Source organism: Homo sapiens, chromosome 21 (genome assembly GCF_000001405.40).
Source record: "Homo sapiens chromosome 21, GRCh38.p14 Primary Assembly".
NCBI classification, from domain to species: domain Eukaryota; kingdom Metazoa; phylum Chordata; class Mammalia; order Primates; family Hominidae; genus Homo; species Homo sapiens.
In genome coordinates, this window is record NC_000021.9 from 36,111,421 (window position 1) to 36,129,773 (window position 18,353).

The window sequence follows — 18,353 nt, forward strand, 5'->3', positions numbered from 1 at the left end:
TCACCTCCCGAGCCTAGCAGGCCACCGCGCATGCACGCAGATCACCCTCGCCCTAAGGGAAGAATGAGGGGAAGAGGCACCAGATGTTGGAAGTATGCCAGCACCTAAATCCCTAAATCCAAGGTCAAGTGGGGCACTTGTCCTTCAACTTGCCCAGCTGGGCCTCCTCCAAGTGTACTTTCCTTTCTTTCATTCCCGTTCTAAAGCTTTTTAATAATCTTTAGCTTCTGCTCTGATACTTGCCTTGGTCTCTTATTCTGCCTTATGCCCCTCAGTCAAATTCTTCTGAGGAGGCAAGAATTCAGGGAGGGAGGGAAGGAGGGAGGAAAGTGAAGGCAGGGAGGGAGGGAGGGAGGGAGGAGGGAGGGAGGATGGAAGGAAGGAAGGGAGGAAGGGAGGGAGGGAGGGAGGGGGCAAGTGAAGGGAGGAAGGGAGGAAAGTGAAGGGAGGAAGGAAGGAAGGAAGGAGAAGGGAAGAAGGAAAGGAAGGAAGGAAGGATACATCCTTGAATAAGGATCAATGAGGACCAAAGCCCCAAAATGACAAATGTCCCATAGGACAGGGTGGGGTAGCATTTCTAATGTGATGCTAGCCTGCGTTCCATCAAAAATGGGTTTACTGGCCGGGTGCAGTGGCTCACACCTGTAATCCCAGCACTTTGGGAGGCCGAGGCAGGTGGATCACTTGAGGTCAGGAGTTCGACACCAACCTGGCCAACATGTTGAAACCCCAACTCTCCTAAAAATACAAAACATTAGCTGGGTGTGGTGGTAGGCGCCTGTAATCCCAGCTACTCGGGAGGCTGAAACAGGAGAATCACCTGAACCCACGAGGCAGAGGTTGCAGTGAGTTGAGATAGTGCCATTGCACTTCAGCCTGGGCAACAAGAGTGAAACTCTGTCTCAAAAAAAAAAAAAAAAAGTTTACAAATCCCATCGTAACCTGAAGGCAATTGCTTTGAGATCTGTTCACAAGAGCCATAGATTTATCATGTAACTTAACTTCATTTGGTACAAACTTTGTTTTTTTTTTGGAGTTGGCCCCATTTGGGAAAATCAGAATGTAGATCTGGAATTTAAATATTGCCTACAAAGCTAAACAGACAAAATGCAGTTGTTGCTTACCTGAAACAAATGTTTGCGGCATCTAAGGACTGATAGGCTGGGACAGAATTAAGATAGTGTTAGGAAAGGGTCCCCTAAGGTTGGGTCGAGTTGCCCTTTCATAGGAAGAAGAGAGGCCTGGGAAAACTTTCTAACCAGGAAGGTAGACATTAATGTCCATAGTTAACATTAGTCAATGATTATTTACTAGGTATGCTCTTTTTAGAGACGTTTATGTACACTCTCGTTTAGTCTTAGTACAGCTCATAATGAGCTGGTACTATTATAACCCTCATTTTACAGAGGAGGAAACAGCCTTCACATGTGTACAGAAATCAGTGAAGCCTGCCTATCACCCATACTTGCTGGGTTCAACATGAACGGCACAGGCAAGGAGAAAGCCCTGTGACCAGCGGTACCAGAAAGAGTGAAAGGGCGCCATCTAGTGACTGTCATGGTGGTTGGCAGTAGAGGTTGGAAGCCGGTGGTTTTTTTTCGTGGGTTTTTTTTGCTGTTGTTTTGGGGTTGTTTTTCTGTGTGAGACAGAGTTTTGCTCTTGTTGCCCAGGCTGGAGCGCAACTGCGGACTACCAATTTCAGTTGTTTCTATCTACTGGGAAACGGCCGCTCCCTGGTGCCAGCTGCAACCAATTATCATTTTAGCGAGGCAGGATGACAACCTCCGGCCCATCACGTGATGGTCGCCTGACATTTCTGGTGTGTGGGGGGAGCTGTCTCCTGCCCTGCTCATGCCCCACTAGCTACCTACTGTAACATTCTCGGGTATCTGGAATACAGTACTAAGCATCTTAAAAAAAACTTCACTGGCGGCCGGGCACAGTGGCTCATGCCTGTAATCCCAACACTTTGGGAGACCAAGGCAGACGGATCACGAGGTGAGGAGTTAGAGACCAGCCTGGCCAACATGGTGAAAACCCCATCTCTACTAAAAGTACCAAAATGAGCCGGCCATGGTGGCGTGCGCCTGTAGTCCCAGCTACTCAGGAGGCTGAGGCAGGAGAATCACTTGAACCTGGGAGGCAGAGGTTGCAGTGAGCCGAGATTGCACCATTGCACTCCAGCCTGGGCAACTAACAGTGAAACTCTGACTCAAAAAAAAACAAAAAACAAAAAACAACCCCCCCCCCCCCCCCACACACACACACACACACACACGCAGAGGCAAAATGGCGGGGGGTAACCTTCTAGGGGGTCATTCCACCGGAAACGGGAAGAACGACTCAGGTGAGCATGCCTGCAGCTCCAGTAAACACACGTAACTCCGGTAAACATGCTTGCCTCCCAAGCACAATCAGGTCACTGCGCATGCGGGTGGCTCACCCTAAGGGAAGAATGAAGGGAAAGGGGTGCAAGACGCCGGAAGCAGGGCAGCATGTAAAATCCTAGGTCCAAGGTCAAACGGAGCACTTGACCTCCAAGGTGCCCCCTTAAGCCTCTTCCAAGTGTACTTTCCTTTCTTTCATTCCTGCTCTAAATCTTTTTCATCAATTTCCACTCCGCTGTAAAACTTGCCTCGGTCTCTTTTCCTGCCTTATGACAATCTATTTTTTTCTTCTGAGGAAGGAAGAGTTGAGGCTGCTGCAGACCTGTACAGATTCGCTGCCGGTCTCTCAGATAACTTCCACTACTAGCAAGAAAGCAAACACACCACATCAATGAACCACCACCATGTAGCTTAAGAGCTGTAAACTTTCACTTTTACTTTTTTTTTTTTTTTTTTTTGAGATGGAGTCTCCCTCTGTCACCCAGGCTGGAGTGCAATTGTGCAATCTTGGCTCACTGCAACCTCCACCTCCGGGGTTCAAGCAGTTCTCCTGCCTCACCCTCCTGAGTAGCTGGGATGACAGGCATGTGCCACCACACCTGGCCAACTTTTTGTAGAGATGGGGCTTTGCCATGTTGGCCAGGCTGATCTCAAACGCCCAGCCTCAAGTGATCCACCCACCTCAGCCTCCCAAAGTGCTGGGATTACAGGCATGAGCCACCGTGCCTGGCCAATTCTTCACTTTTTCAAGTAAATATATGCACACTGATTAAAAACCCAAATGAACGAAAGCTAGATACAGTGGGAAGTCAGCCTCCACATCCCCCAGCTACCCAGTCCTCCCCAGAAGCAACTGCTGTTACCAGCTTCCCATGTCCCCTTCCAGAGACAGTCTAAGTAAGCAAATACTTTGATACAAATAATAGCATACCACGGTAGCCGGAATAAAGCCTCCTCACCAAGGTGTCCGTGTCCTAATGCCTGGGATCAGTAAATATGTGATACGGCAATAGGGACGGGGCAGCTGATTCAAGTTAAAGGCCTTGAGAAGGCAGATTATCCAGGTGGGCCCTATGTAATCAAACAAATCCTTAAAGCTGAGAACCTTCCCAGGCTGTAGTCAGAAGAAGATGTGACTTTGGGGTTAGAGAGACGCAAAGTTGCTGGTACTGAAGATGGAGGAAGCCACGTAATGCAGGTGACAAAAACACTGATTCTCTCCTTAGCCCCCTGGAAAGGCGTGCAGCCCTGCTGGCGCCTTGATCCCAGGCAGGTGAGGCCTGTGTCAGACTTCCTACCCCAAAATCAGAAGGTAATAAGTTTGTGTCTTAAGCCCCTAAATTTGAGAACATTTGCTACAGCAACAATAGAAAACTAATAAATACACTAGTACCCTTTTCTTTCCTTCTTTCTTCCTTTCCTTTTTTTTTTTTTTTTTGACGGAGACTCACTCTGTCACCCAGGCTGGAGTGCAGTGACGTGATCTCGGCTCACTGCAATCTCTGCCTCCCCTGTTCAACCTGTTCAAGCAATTCTCCTGCCTCAGACTCCCAAGTAGCTAGGATTACAGATGCACAGCACCACACCTGGATTTTTTTTTTTTTTTTTTTTTTTTTTGTATTTTTAGTAGAGACATGGTTTCACCACATTGGCCAGGCTGGTCCGGAACTCCTGACCTCAAGTGATCCACCCACCTCAGCCTCCACTGCACCCAGCATCATCTTCTTCTTCTTTTTTTTTTTTTTTCAAGATAAGGTCTTGCTTTGTTGCCCAGACTGAGTGCAGTGGTGCAATAATGGCTTACAGCAGCCTTAAACTCTGTGGCTCAAGCGACCCTCCTGCCTCAGCCCCGGGAGTAGCTGGGACCACAGATATGCACCACCACCCTCAGCTAATTTTTAAAAATTTTTTGTAGAGATGGGGTCTATGTTGCCAAGGCTGGTCTTAAACTTCTGGCCTTAAGCAATCCTCCCACCTCAGGCTCCCAAAGTTCTAGGATTAGAGGCATGGGCCACCGTGTCCCACCTCCTTTCCTCACTTAATACATTTTGAAGCCTCTTCCCTTTTACAATATTTAGAGCTGCCTCATTCTTTTTAATGGCTGCATAGCATCTCATCATATGAGTATTTAATCGTTCTATTAAGGATGGTCACGGGGCTATTTGAGACATATAAATAAGTTACAAATAAGTCTGTAATGTCATACTTCCCAATTATTCTCATCTCATAGCACACACAAATATATTAATATTTATATAACACACTGAAGTGAATTGAAGGTACTGAGGTCATTTACCTTGGACCTTGATGGAAAATGTTACTAATAATACTTTCTTTTTCTTTCTTTTTTTTTTTTAAATGAGACAAGTTCTCATTCTATTGCCCAGGCTGGAATGCAGTGGCATGATCACGGCTCACTGCAGCTTCAGCCTCCCAAGTACCTGGGACCATTGGTGCACACCACCACACCTGGCTAATTTTTTATTTTTAGTAGAGACGAGGTCTTACATGTTACCCAGGCTGGTCTGGAACTCCTAGGCTCAAGCGATCTTCTCACCTCAGCCTTCCAAAGTGCTGGGATTACAAGCGTGAGCCACCATGACTGGCCTATATTCTTTATATTATATAGTTTTGTTAGTTTTTTCAGACAGGCTTTCTCTCTGTCACCAAGGCTGGAGTGCAGTGAAATGATCTCAGCTCACTGCAGCCTCCACCTCCTGGGCTCAAGCTATCCTCCTGCCTCAGCCTCCCAAGTAGCTGGGACCATAGGCAAGCACTACCACACTTGGCTAATTTTTGTATTCTTTTGGTAGAGTCAGGGTTTCACCATGTTACCCAGGCTGGTCTCAAACTCCTAGACTGAAGCAATCCACCTGCCTCGGCCTCCCAAAGTGCTAGGATTACAAGTGTAAGCCACCACACCCGACATACAGTTATTAAACACACAAACACACATACAGGAGAAGATATTGACATTGAATTTATATAAAACTTTTTTTTAACTGAGGGTCCCACTCTGTCACCCAGGCTGGAGTACAGTGGCGTGATCCTAGCTCATTGCACCCTCAAACTCTAGGGCTCAAGGGATCCTCCCACCTCAGCCTCTCAAGTAGCTAGGACTACAGGTGTGCACCACCACGCCCATGTAATTTTATTTTATTTTTTTAGAGTTAGAGTCTCTTATTACTGCCCAGACTGGTCTCAAACTCCTGGGTTCAAGCAATCCTCCTACTTCAACTTCCCAAAGTGTTGGGATTACAAGCATGAGCTACCATACCTGGCCTATACAAAACTTCTAAGTCTTTAATTTTTTTGAAGAAGTTGATTTTTTTTATTTATAATATCAGGCTTTATATTATTTAATATTTTAAATATCAGGCTTTATGCCTGAAATAGCTGATTCTCATTATTCACCACAGTTATGTTCTATAAAGTCATTGCAAACACTGAATCTGTTAATACTAAATTATTGTTCCTAGTGGAAATACAGGGTTAAGTTCCTATGAGCCTCTGGCCACATTTTTATAAACTGAAATGCCACTTGTGGTACAGGTTCATTTGCCAACTTCCTTGCATAACAAACCAGTTTCATTAGCATTGAAAACCTGTTCTTCCACAGGACTCTTTTAAAATATCACTCAGCAGGTATTTTAAAAATTCTTCCAGATCTGCAGAACATGCCTCACCTGCAACTTGATGTTTTTCACTCCATGTCACCTTCTGAAACACGCTTGCTGACCAGCAGTGGCTGAGAAGGGTTTAACAATGTTCTAATCCTGTATCATGTGACTGGAAGTTTCTTGGGCTTTCAGCTTCACAGTGCTGTCTGCTATGTTTGGTTGGTTTTGTTAAATGGGTCGTCATCTCAGGAATCCACAAATGTAGCCACTTCTCCATAGCTTCATCACAGATTGGCAGTCTTCTTCCTTTTTCTGGATGGACTGTATTGTTAACTCATTCATGCTGAGCTCACAGCCAACAGCACTACAACTCATGCCTGAATCGAAGCCTATCAAAGGCCCATCCCAGCCTTCCTGTGCCAAGGAATGCTGGACAACACTTCAGCATTCTGCATGGGGCCATTTTGAACAGGCACAGTGGCTCACACCTATAATCCCAACACTTTGGGAAGCCAAGGTGGGCAGATCACTTGAGGTCAGGAGTTTGACACCAGCCTGGCCAACATGGTGAAACCCCATCTCTACTAAAAATACAAAAATTAGCTGGGCGTAGTGGTGCGCACCTGTAATCCCAGCTACTAGGGAAGCTGAGGCAGGAGAATTGCTTGAACCCCAGAGTGCAGTGGTTGCAGTGAGCCGAGATTGCACCACTGCACTCCAGCCTGGGTCACAGAGCAAGACTCTGTCTTAACCAAAAAAAAAAATCACCACCAAGAGGCACAAAAATGTGAAAAATGTGGCACTAAGACCACAAAAAGGACACTGATTTACAATATCAGAGCAAAACAAGAAGGCAGGGTGTCCCCTTGTTTGACTTCATCTGCGAACGTGCGTGTTAGGTGATAAAAATTTTTGCCACTCTGTGCGTACCTGCAAACAGCTGCAAAAGTGCCAGGAGCACTGATTTTGGAGTTACGAGTAAATTTTAGTGAGTAGTTGAATTCACAAAATGGAGTTCATGAATAATGAGGACTCTCTAGATGCAATTCCTGATCAAGATAACTTTTTAAAGATGATCGCTTCCTTTTTTTTTTTTTTTTTTTTTTAGTGTTACCATTGATTAGAAAATGTGTTTGCAGGCCGGGCATGGTGGCTCACGCCTGTAATCCCAGCACTTTGGGAGGCTGAGGCAGGCAGATCACAAGGTCAGGAGATCGAGACCATCCTGGCTAACACGGTGAAACCCCGTCTCTACTATAAATAACAAAAAATTAGCCGAGCATGGCGGCAGGTGCCTGTAGTCCCAGCTACTTGGGAGGCCGAGGCAGGAGAATGGCGTGAACCCCCGGGAGGCGAAGCTTGCAGTGAGCCAAGATCACGCCACTGCACTCCAGCCTGGGTGACAGAACGAGACTCCATCTCAAAAAAAAAAAAAAAAAAAAAAGGGAAATGTGTTTGCTCAAGTAGGTGGGAACAAACAGGAGACTGTTTATCCCTATTTTTTAAACATTTTCTGTTCTTGCCATTAACTAGATTTCAGATAATTTAATCTATTTAATTCATAGTTCTAAGCAATAGTCTAGTCTTTAAATCTAATAGCTTTTCTTTTCATTCACAAATTGACATTGTCCTGTGATATTGTCAATGAATTCTGAGTCCAGTCAAACTTTTCCATTTCAAATCATCACTAACCAAAAGAAGCAGAATTTCAGCTACAAATGCAATCACATGTCATTTCAAATTTTGTAGTAGCACATTGCAGTAAAAAAGAAACATGTGAAACTAACATTTTAACATTTAATTTCACCCAACACGAAATATCATTGGAAAATGATGTGTGTTTTGCAGTATGATCAGCGTGAAAAATATTAGTGAGGTACTTAACAATTTTCTGTACTAAGTCTTTGAAAGTTTCTGTTGATGGCAACATCTCATTCAGGCTGGTAACATTAACATTAAGTGCTCACTAGCCACAATGTTACTACCTCATTGAACAGTATTTCAAAAATAACACTCAAGCCATTCCTCAAGTACACGTAAATATTATTCTAGTAACTATAATTTTTTAGAATTAAATTTATATTAATAATGCTGACTAGTAGCTACTAGTAAAAAATTCCTAAACTCACTTTTCCAAAGTTAAATTTTTGCTTTAAAAGCATACACTTTTTCAATACACATTTGTATCTGTACATACATATGAGATATTTTCACATGATCCATGCAGTATTCTTTTCTTTCTTTCCTTCTTTCTTTTATTTTCTTTCTTGTTTTTTGTTTCTGTTTTTATTTTTTTGGAGTCAGGGTCTAACTCCCATAGCCCAGGCTGGAGTGCAGTGGTATGACATGATCTTGGCTCACTGCAACCCCCACCTGCCAGGCTCAAGTGATCCTCCCACCTCAGCCTCCCAAGTAGCTGGGACTATAGGCGTGCACCACTGCACCTGGCTAATTTTTGTCTTTTTAAAAGAGATGGAGTTTTGCCATGTTGCCCAGACTGGTCTGGAACTCCTGGGCTCAAGCTATCTGCCTGCCTCAGCCTCTCAAAGTGTTGGGATTACAGACATGAGCCACTGTGCTTGGCAATATTAATTTTAAAAAAATTTTTTAGAGACATAGTCTCACTCTGTCACCCAGGCTAGAATGCAGTAGTGTGATGATAGGTCACTTGCAGCCTCAAGCTCCTGGGCTCAAGGGATTCTCCTGCTTCAGCCTCCTAAGTAGGTAGGACTACAGGTGCACACCACCACACCTGGCTAATTTTTTTAATGTTTTGTGGAGATGGCTAATTTTTAAAATTTTTTGTGAAGATGGAGTCTCACTGTGATGCCCAGGATGGTCTCAGACTCCTGGCCTCAAGTCATCCTCCCGCCTCAGCCTCACAAAGTGCTGGGATTACAGGTGTGAGCCACCACGCTCCGCCTCCCTAATCTTTACTGTATTACCTACTGGGCAATGTAAGTGATTTTTTGACTGCCAGTCTAGGGAGTCAGATGACTGCCCAGCTTGTGGTGGCCGGCCTCCAAGACCATCCCATGATCCCTGCCTTCTGTTCTTCAGACCCTGTGTAGGCCCTTCCCACACTGGATCAGACTTGCTCTGTGTGACCAGCAGACATGGGGAAGGAATGGTAGAAGAAACTAGGTCATAAAAGACAGTTTGGCTTTCATCTTCCCCCTCTCTTGGTTCACTCACTCTGGAGGAAGCCAGCTGCAGTGTCTTGAGGCCACCCAAGGAGAGGCCCTCTTGGCTAAGAGCTGAGGCCTCCAGCCACCAGCTTTCTGTCCCCAGATGACCGCAGCCCCAGCTGACAGCAAGATGGCTCACGAGAGGCCCCGAGGCGGAACTACCCAGCCAAGCTACTCTCATTCCTGATCTACAGAAACTGAGAAAATAAATGTTTTAAGCCAACAAAGTTTGAAGTAACTTGTTATGTAGCAATAAGTTACTAACATACAGACTTAACTTTAAAAGTTATATTTAGTTGGGCACAGTGGCTCATGCCTGTAATCCCAGCACTTTGGGAGGCTGATGTGGGCAGATCACCTGAGGTCAGGGGTTCGAGACCAACCTGGCCAACATGGGAAACCCCATCTCTACTAAAAATACAAAAATTAGCCAGGCGTGGTGGCAGGTGCCTGTAGTCCCAGCTACTTGGGAAGCTGAGGCGGAAGAATTGCTTGAATCCAGGAGGGGGAGGTTGCAGTGAGTGGAGATGACACCACTTCACTCCAGCCTGGGCGACAGAATGAGACTCCGTCTAAAAATAATAATAATAATGTTATATTTAGATATAAAGAATTTAAGGGACTAAAGAGTTTCCACAGTTTTTTTTCAAACTTTTGAAATTTGATATTTCAAAAAATAAATCTTGGCCAGGCACAGTGGCTCATGCCTGTAATCCCAGCGTTTTGGGAGGCTGAGGTTAGCAGATCACTTGAGGTCAGGAGATCGAGACCAGCCTGGGTAACATGGCGAAACCCCATCTCTACAAAAAATACAAAACACTAGCCGAGTATTGTGGTGCATGCCTGTAGTCCCAGCAACTTGGAGAGAGACAGGAGGTTGAGGCCACAGTGAGCCATGATCATGCCACTGCACTCCAGCCTGGGTGACAGGGTGAGACCCTGAATCAATTAATCCATCTTACATCAGCCACTTCTTAGGAATGCTTTAAACCAACTCAACCTTTTTAGATTAAGCATAGATGAGCGAAATACAATATGGAAATATTAGTTTTACTTAAAATTCTGAAAAAGCAACAAAATATTATATTCATGTAGAGTCAATTGTGAAAAAAACTGATTCCTGAAGCCACAAAGTCTACACCTTTATTGTATCAACTTTATGTTCAATTAATATTTTTAAGAATATTTCTATGATTAAAAATTAATTATAAATCCTATCAAGAATCAAACTTACTAAATGTTAACTTTAAAAGCCAGTAAGATCTACAACACAGATGAACCTTGAAACATACTAAGAGAGGCTGGTTGTGGTCGCTCATGTCTGTAATCCCAGGACTTTGGGAGGCTGAGGTGGGCAGATCACTGGAGCCCAGGAGTTTGAAACCAGCCTGGCTAACATGGTGCAACCTTGTGTCTACAAAAAAATACAAAAAATGAGCAGGGCATGGTGGTGCACCCCTGTAGTCCCACGTACACAGAAGACTGAGGTAGGAGGATCACTTGAGCCCAGGGAGGTCAAGACTGCAGTGAGCTATGATTGCACCACTGGGCTCCAGCCTGAGCAACAGAGCGAGACCTTGTCTCAAAAAAGAAAAAAAAAAAAAAAACCCACTACGTGAAAGTCAGTCACAAAGGGCCACATCTTACTGTTTCATTTATCTGAAATGTCTAGAATTGGTAAGTCTATATAAATGGAAAACAGGTTAGTGGCTGCCTAGGGATGAAGGCATGGAAGGAAATGGGGAATGACTGCTAATGGCTATGGGGTTTGTTTTAGGGGTGATGAAAATGTCCCAAAATAGTGGTAATGGTTGTATAATTCTGTGAACATACTATCAATCATTGAATTGTATACTTTAAATGGGATTTAATTCACATTACATCTCAATAAAACTATTTTTTAAAGAAGAAAATGTTCAAGGAACAAGGGTTGCTAAATAACAGAGGATAACTGTTGTTTGACAACAGCACAAAAATTATTTCCCAAAAAGTGTAATGGCCCTGGAAAATGAGTGCAACGGGATCTTCTCTTGAACCTGGATAGCGGGGTGTGGACAGCTGGGCACACTGAAGGCGGTGATACAGAACTAAAAGCAACAGGACAGCTATGAAGGGAAAAGAAAATCAGTGTGGCTACCAAGACATTTTAGTGTCTGCTTTCAAGAAGGTCCTCCCCCCATGCTTGGCTCATGATATGGGGTGAGTCTCTTGTTAGAGTGGAACATATAGGTCAGTGTAAAGTGTGGAGACCAGCACCTGACTCTGAGCAAGAGTTCCATGAATATTAGCTTTCTATTTTTAAAAACCCACTAAAAGTCTGGGCACAGTGGCTCATGCCTATAATCTCAGCACTTTGGGAGGCTGTAGTGGGTAGGATCGTTTGAGCCCAGGAATTTGAGACCAGCCTGAGCAACACAGTGAGAACCCATGTCTACCAAAAATTTAGCCAGGCTTGGTGGTGCACACCTGTAGTCCCAACTGCTCAGGAAGCTTGAACCCAAGAGGTTGAAGCTGCAGTGAGCCGAGATCACGCCACTGCATTCCAGCCTGGCCAACAGAGGGAGCCTGTCTCAAAAAAATAAATAAATAAATAAATAAATAAATAAATAAATAAATAATAAAAAAATATGAAGCCACTAACAAAGGAGGGTAGGAAATAGTTAACAATCCAGTTATATTCTCTTTAGAGACACGCAATACCAGATAACAAAAACAATAAAGATGGCTATCTTAGTCCCTTTTCTGTTGCTATAACTGAATGCCTGAGACTGGGTAAATTGTAAAGAAAATACATTCATTTCTTACGGTCTGGAGGCTGGAAGTTCAAGGTCAAGGAGCTGCATCTGGTGAGGGCCTTCTTGCTAGTGGGGACTCTCTGCAGAGTTCCAAGGTGGTACAGGGTCACATGGCAAGGAGTACACAAGAGAATGCCAAGTGGCTTTTATAACAGACTCAGTTTTAAAATAACTAACCCATTCCCATGATAACCCATTAATCCATTAACCCATTAATCCATGATATATTAATCCTTTGGTGAGGACAGAGCACTAATGACCCAATCACCTCGTACAGGCTCCACCTGTCAATATTGTTACATTTGGGATTAAGTTTCATCATGAGTTTCAGAGGGGAGAAGCATTCAAACCATAGCAAACTCCTATGATGGTAGAAAAATAAATATAAGAGCAAACTGTACCAAAAGGAAACTAAGCTTTATATATGCTTCTATAGTTTGAATTATGTGTCCTCCCAAAATTTATATGTTGAAACCTAATCACCAAGATGATGGTATTAGAAAGTGGAGCTTTTGGGGAGGTGATTGGGTCATGAGGGCTCTGTCCTCACAAATGGGATTAATGACCTTATAAAAGATATATAAGGGAGCTGCTTCCCTCCTTTTTGCCCTTCCACCATGTGAAGACAAAGCGTCCATCCCCTCTGGAGGGCAAAACAACAAGGCATCATCTTGGAAGCACAGACCAGGCCCTCACTAGACTTCCTAGAACCTTGACCTTGGACTTTCTAGTCTCCAGAACCACAAGAAGTAAATTTCTATTGTTTATAAATTACCCAGTCTCATGTATTTTGTTATAGCAGCACAAATGGACTAAGACATGCAGGCAAGAATTTATGATAGGCCGGGCACGGTGGCTCATGCCTGTAATTCCAGCACTTTAGGAGGCCGGGGTGGGAGGATCATCTGAGATCAGGAGTTTGAGACCAGCCTGGCCAACATGGCGAAATCCCATCTCTACTAAAAAACATATATATATACAAAAATTAGCCAGGTGTGGTGGTGCACACTTGTAATCTTAGCTACTCAGGAGGCTAAGACAGGAGAATTGCAGAATTCTTCTGCAATTCAGGAAGCAGAGGTTGCAGTGAGCTGAGATCGTGCCACTGTACTCCAGCCTGGGCAACAGAGCAAGACTCCATCTCAAAAAAGAATTTATGATAAACAAGTCAGGCTATCCAGATGCAAGGGCTCATGCCTGTAATTCCAGGACTTTAGGAGGCCAAGGTAGGAGGATTGCTCTAGCCCAGGAGTTCAAGACCACCTTGGGCAACATAGCAAGACCCCACCTCTTAAAAACATATATAAAAATAAAAAATTGTCCAGGCATGGTGGCACAGACCTGTAGTCTCAGCTACAAAGGATCGCTTGAGCCTGGGAGGTCAAGGCTGCAGTGAGCCATTATCATGCCACTGCATTCCATCCTGGGCAACAGAGCAAGACACTGTCTCAAAAAAGAAAAAAAAAATTCAGGCTAAATAATATATTAGACCAGTTGAAAGGGATCAATAGAAACATTAAAGAAAGATTCTATAGTGGGTTAGTTCTGCAGTGTCCCCTCAAAATTCATGTCCACCTGCCATCTCAGAATGTGCCCTTTTGGTAATAGGGTCTTTACAGATGTAATTAGTTAAGATGAGATTATGCTGGAAGACTAATGTCCTTATAAGAAGAGGAGAAGGGTCAGGCATGGTGGCTTATGCCTGTAATCCCAGCACTTTGGGAGGCTGAGGCGGGTGGATCACTTGAGGTCAGGAGTTCGAGACCAGCCTGGCCAACATGGTGAAACCGTGTCTCTACTAAAAATACACAAATTAGCTAGGTGTAGTGGCAGGCGCCTGTAATCCTGGCTACTCGGGAGGCTGAGGCTTGAGAATCGCTTGAACACAGGAGACGGAGGTTGCAGTGAGCCAAGATCATGCCACTGCACTCCAGCCTAGGCGACAGAGTGAGACTGTCTCAGGAAAAAAAATTAAAAAAAAAAGGAACAGGAGAGGAGAAGACATACACAGATGCTCAGCAGAGACAGCAGCCATATGAAGACAGAGGCAGACATTGGTGTGATGCTGCCCCAAGACAAGGAATGCCAAAGATTGCTAGCAACCACCAGCAAGTGGAAGAGGCAGGGAAGGATTCTTTCCCAGCGCTTGGAGAGAGAGCATGGTCCTGACAACATTTTGATCTCGGACTTCTGGCTTCCAGAACTATGAGAGAATGAAGCTCTGCACCTGTATTTGGTGTTTAGTTATGGTGACCGCAGGAAACTGATACATATGCCATGTAGTGCAGCCACTCAACCACAAGGGGCACTGTCTGGCAGCAAGTTCTACAAACACAAACTGTCCAAAATAATCACTGAAGTTCACAGAGAAAGCCATACAAATAGCATTCAAATATTTTTAACGATGATCAACAGGCTACAATTTATCATTTTTAAAAACATAAAACCATTATCATCTTGCTGAATAATTCATGACCTTTGTAACAAACTGGCTGAGAACCACTTTTAAAGAACATCCTGGTCCGGCTATCATTACACACACGGGAGGGTATCTGTAGGATAAATTCCCCCAACAATTCCCTTTCCAGGAAGAGACGCATATTTTTAATTTCAATAGACAACAGCCAAATTGCCCTCCAAAGAGGAGGTACATTACACTCGCCAGAAATATACATGAATGGCTGGTTTTCCCCAGGCTTGGCAATACTTTGCCAAGCTAAGAGGTAAGAATGGGCTTTAAAATAAACCCTGATCCAGCTCCCAAGGAGAGGACTGGGGCCTTCGGACCCACATTTCCCAGCACAGGTGCTTCACCAGCCTGCCATGGCCCCTTCTCTGTCCAGTTTAGCAAGGGTGTGGCAGATTTCCTTTCAGGCACAGAGCCCAGCCTTCCAGACATCACACTTAAACTGGTTCCTACCACATTTGCAAGGAGAATCTCTTCTTCCAAGTCAGCAGTGTTTACAATAAGCAGTATGCTTTTCCCTGAGTCACTCTGAATATAGAGACCAGAAACCAATTCCAGGGTAGCAAAGGGACAGCCACCATGGTGACCTCAAGCATACAAATCACACACCTGCTTGTCCTGCCTGGTCAAGCCCTGTTGGGACCATGCATAATCCTGACCCCAGCACTCAGGCACAGAACACTTAGGAGAGGAAGGCGAGGTTTCAGCTACATGAGGTGGCATTGTAGGAATTGTCTTCTCCCTGACACCCCCCATGGCACTCAACAGCCTCACTGTCCTGACCCTAAGCCACTTTGTGACCCACCCCTGGGAAGGGCAGGCAGTGAAGAACTAGGCATAGAGAAGAGGAGGTGGGGAGTTACCAAGCTGTTTGCTGACCTCTTCATTTGACTCAGAACCTGACCTTAATCTTGCTTCCAGAAAAACAATGGGCCCCATTCCTGCCCAAGCTTGCCTTCTGCAACCCAGACTTTCTTAGAACGCGATGGGAGTCAAGAGCGCTTTCTTTAAGGCGAAGCTGTAGACAGGTTCCCCTCACCTCCCACCTCTGCCCACATTATCTGCCTCTAGCAAATAATGGTAGTCATGACTGTGCCTGTTACCCAGGAGAACACCAATCAATGGCTGTAAAGACATGAATGTATGGTTTTAGATGGTGTCTGCCTGCCTTTGCTGAAAAAATGTAAGAACAGCAAACATTTATGTATTACCGTTTGTCAGTACTGCTCTAAGCACTTTTATAATATTAAACATTCATGCTGTACTCCTTACAGCAATCGTAAGAGCTAGGCACTAAAACTATTCCCATTGTACAGATGAGCAAACTGAGACACTGAGAGATTGGGAACCTTGCCCACGATCACACAGTGAGTAAGTAGGAGCTACAATAAGGAGCCATGAAGGCAGGGAGCTCCACTCCTGCCCTTCCCAGGCCTCTGTTCACTCCTGAGCATGACTGGTACCTAACAGGTGCTCAGACAGTCGCTGGATGCAGATGAGGGAACGGCTGTGGACATTCAGTCCTTCAGACCACAAAAGGACTTTGGAAGGAGAAGAACCCTGGAAGAATGCCATGTTACTGGCAAAGGTTTGGGTTCTTACCCAGTGATTTGGTAAACACAAAGGGACAATGGCATTAAGTGATAGCAAAGCCAATCTAAACAGAATCACAGCAGTAAACCACCAGAACCCACAACTTTTTTTTTTTTTTTTTTTTTGAGACAGAGTTTTGCTCTTGTTGCCCACGCTGGAATGCAATGGCGCCATCTCGGCTCGCCACAACCTCCACCTCCCGGGCTCACCCAATCCTCCCAGCTGGAACTACCGCACACACCACCACACCCAGCTAATTTTTGTATTTTTGGTAGAGACAGGGTTTCACTATGTTGCCCAGGCTGGACTCAAGCTACCCACCTACCTCAGCCTCCCAAAGTGCTAGAATTACAGGCATGAGCCACCATGCCTGGCCACCAGTATTTTGCCAGGCTGGAGTGCAGTGGCACAATCTCGGCTCACTGCAACCTCCGCCTCCCGAGTTCAAGCAATTCTTCTGCCTCAGCCTCCCTGAGTAGCTGGGACTACAGGCACGCACCACCACACCCAGCTGATTTTTGTATTTGTAGTAGAGATGAGGTTTCAGCATGTTGGCCAGATTGTTCTCAATCTCTTGACCTTGTGATCCACCCTCCTCAGCCTGTTGGGATTACAGGCACGAGCCACTGAGCCCGGCCCAGTCTTTTTCTTAAAAAATCTGCTCACAATTCCAATTATTTGCGCAATGCTGTACTAAGTACAAGAGAAAGGTGTTTCCTCTCAGCCAGGACAGAAGGTAGGAATCTTCCTGTAACTGCAGTCCTTTCTATGGCCACTAAAACAAATTACCACAAACTGAGGGGCGTGAGATAACACATGTTTATGATCTTATCATTCTGGAGGTTAGAAGTCCTAAAGTCAAGGTATCAGAGCCGTGCTCCTTCCAGAATCCCTGAGGGAGGAACCCCTCTGCTGTCCTGTCAACTTCTGGAGGCTGTCTGTGTTCCTTGGCACATGCCCTTCCTCCATCTCCAAATCTCTCCTGACCTCTGCTTCTACCACATCTTCGTCTTGGACCCTTCTGCCTCCCTCTCATAAAGACCCTTGGGTCTACACTGGACCCACCTTGGTAACCCAGGCTAATCTCCCCACATCAAGATCCGTAATCACTTCTGCAAAGTCCCTCTTGTGAAGGAAAGCAAATTCACAGGCTCTGCAGATTCTAATGCAGACCTCTTGGGGGAGGGGCATTATTCTGTCGACGGCAATAACCGGAGCCATTTCTTTCTTTCTTTCTTTCTTTTTCTTTTTTTTTTTTTTGAGACAAAGTCTCACTCTATTGCCAGGCTCCAGTGCTGTGGTGTGATCTTGGCTCACTGCAACCTCCACCCCCTGGGTTCAAGCAATTCTCCTGCCTCAGCCTCCTGAGTAGCTGAGACTACAGATGGACGCCACCACACCTGGTTTTTTTTTGTTTTGTTTTGTTTTGTTTTTTTGTTTTTGAGACAGAGTCTCACTCTGTCTCTGTCACCCAGGCTGGAATGCAGTGGCCTGATCTCAGCTCACTGCAAGCTCTGCCTCCCAGGTTCACACCATTCTCCTGCCTCAGCCCTCCCGAGTAGCTGGGACTACAGGCGACCGCCACCATGCCCGGCCAGTTATTTTTTCGTATTTTTAGTAGAGATAGGGTTTCACCGTGTTAGCCAGGATAGTCTTGAACTCCTGGTTTCAAGTGATCTGCCTGCCTTGGCCTCCCAAAATGCTGGGATTACAGGTATGAGCCACAGGAAAAAAAAATCACTTTCCCAATCTGCAAAATGGCTACTGTCCTCAATTTCCCCAAACTAATCCCTCTCAATGATGACCTCAAATCTCTCACCCTCCAAAGAGATAACAGATGCCCTCAGGAAGGCCTTAGTTTCCCCAACATGCTTGGGTCTAAACCCACACACTCTGCCTTTCCTTCTGTTACAAGAGAAGAGGTGTGCTGTTTCCCCCTCCACACCCCCACCTGATTCCTGGATCCACCCGTGCTTGGTCTTCCCACACATTTTGTTCTTGCAATTCTTCCTGTTCTTCAACTGTTCTCTCTCTGAGATTATTGTCATTACATAAAAACATGCTTTAATATCTCTCTCGGCTTTTGAAATTCTTTAAAAAGGAGTTAAGTTGTGCAATGTGAGTTCATTGACCACAATGGATTTAAGTTAGAAATCAATCGCAAGATAGCCGGAAAAATCCCCAAGTAAGTTGGAAACTTAAAAAATACACTTCTAGCCAGGGGCAGTGGCTCACGCCTGTAATCCCAGCATTTTGGAAGGCCAAGGCAGGCAGAGTGCTTGAGGTCAGGACTTCGAGACCAG

General features: G+C 45.0%; 1 long non-coding RNA gene across 1 annotated transcript in view, besides 4 other annotated features; it reads right to left on the reverse strand.

The window, feature by feature from the left end:
• CBR1-AS1 (CBR1 antisense RNA 1) overlaps positions 1–15,220 on the reverse strand; it is a 56,999-nt gene extending 41,779 nt beyond the window's left edge. Inside the window, exon 1 of the long non-coding RNA NR_040084.1 lies at positions 15,067–15,220. This is a non-coding gene — a long non-coding RNA (CBR1 antisense RNA 1). The remainder of the gene's footprint in view (positions 1–15,066) is intronic.
• Positions 1,495–1,624: an enhancer, noted in NCBI's record as "active region_18425". NCBI's record gives its function as "activates an Ori minimal core promoter by ATAC-STARR-seq in GM12878 lymphoblastoid cells {active_cell/tissue: GM12878}" and the evidence as "EXISTENCE:reporter gene assay evidence [ECO:0000049][PMID:35858748]".
• Positions 1,665–1,764: an enhancer, noted in NCBI's record as "active region_18426". NCBI's record gives its function as "activates an Ori minimal core promoter by ATAC-STARR-seq in GM12878 lymphoblastoid cells {active_cell/tissue: GM12878}" and the evidence as "EXISTENCE:reporter gene assay evidence [ECO:0000049][PMID:35858748]".
• Positions 1,906–2,418: an enhancer, noted in NCBI's record as "H3K27ac-H3K4me1 hESC enhancer chr21:37485624-37486136 (GRCh37/hg19 assembly coordinates)". NCBI's record gives its function as "activates a minimal SCP1, AML or CMV promoter by ChIP-STARR-seq in primed H9 embryonic stem cells {active_cell/tissue: H9 hESC(primed)}" and the evidence as "EXISTENCE:reporter gene assay evidence [ECO:0000049][PMID:30033119]".
• Positions 2,756–2,815: an enhancer, noted in NCBI's record as "active region_18427". NCBI's record gives its function as "activates an Ori minimal core promoter by ATAC-STARR-seq in GM12878 lymphoblastoid cells {active_cell/tissue: GM12878}" and the evidence as "EXISTENCE:reporter gene assay evidence [ECO:0000049][PMID:35858748]".
• Positions 15,221–18,353: the final 3,133 nt, after the last annotated feature.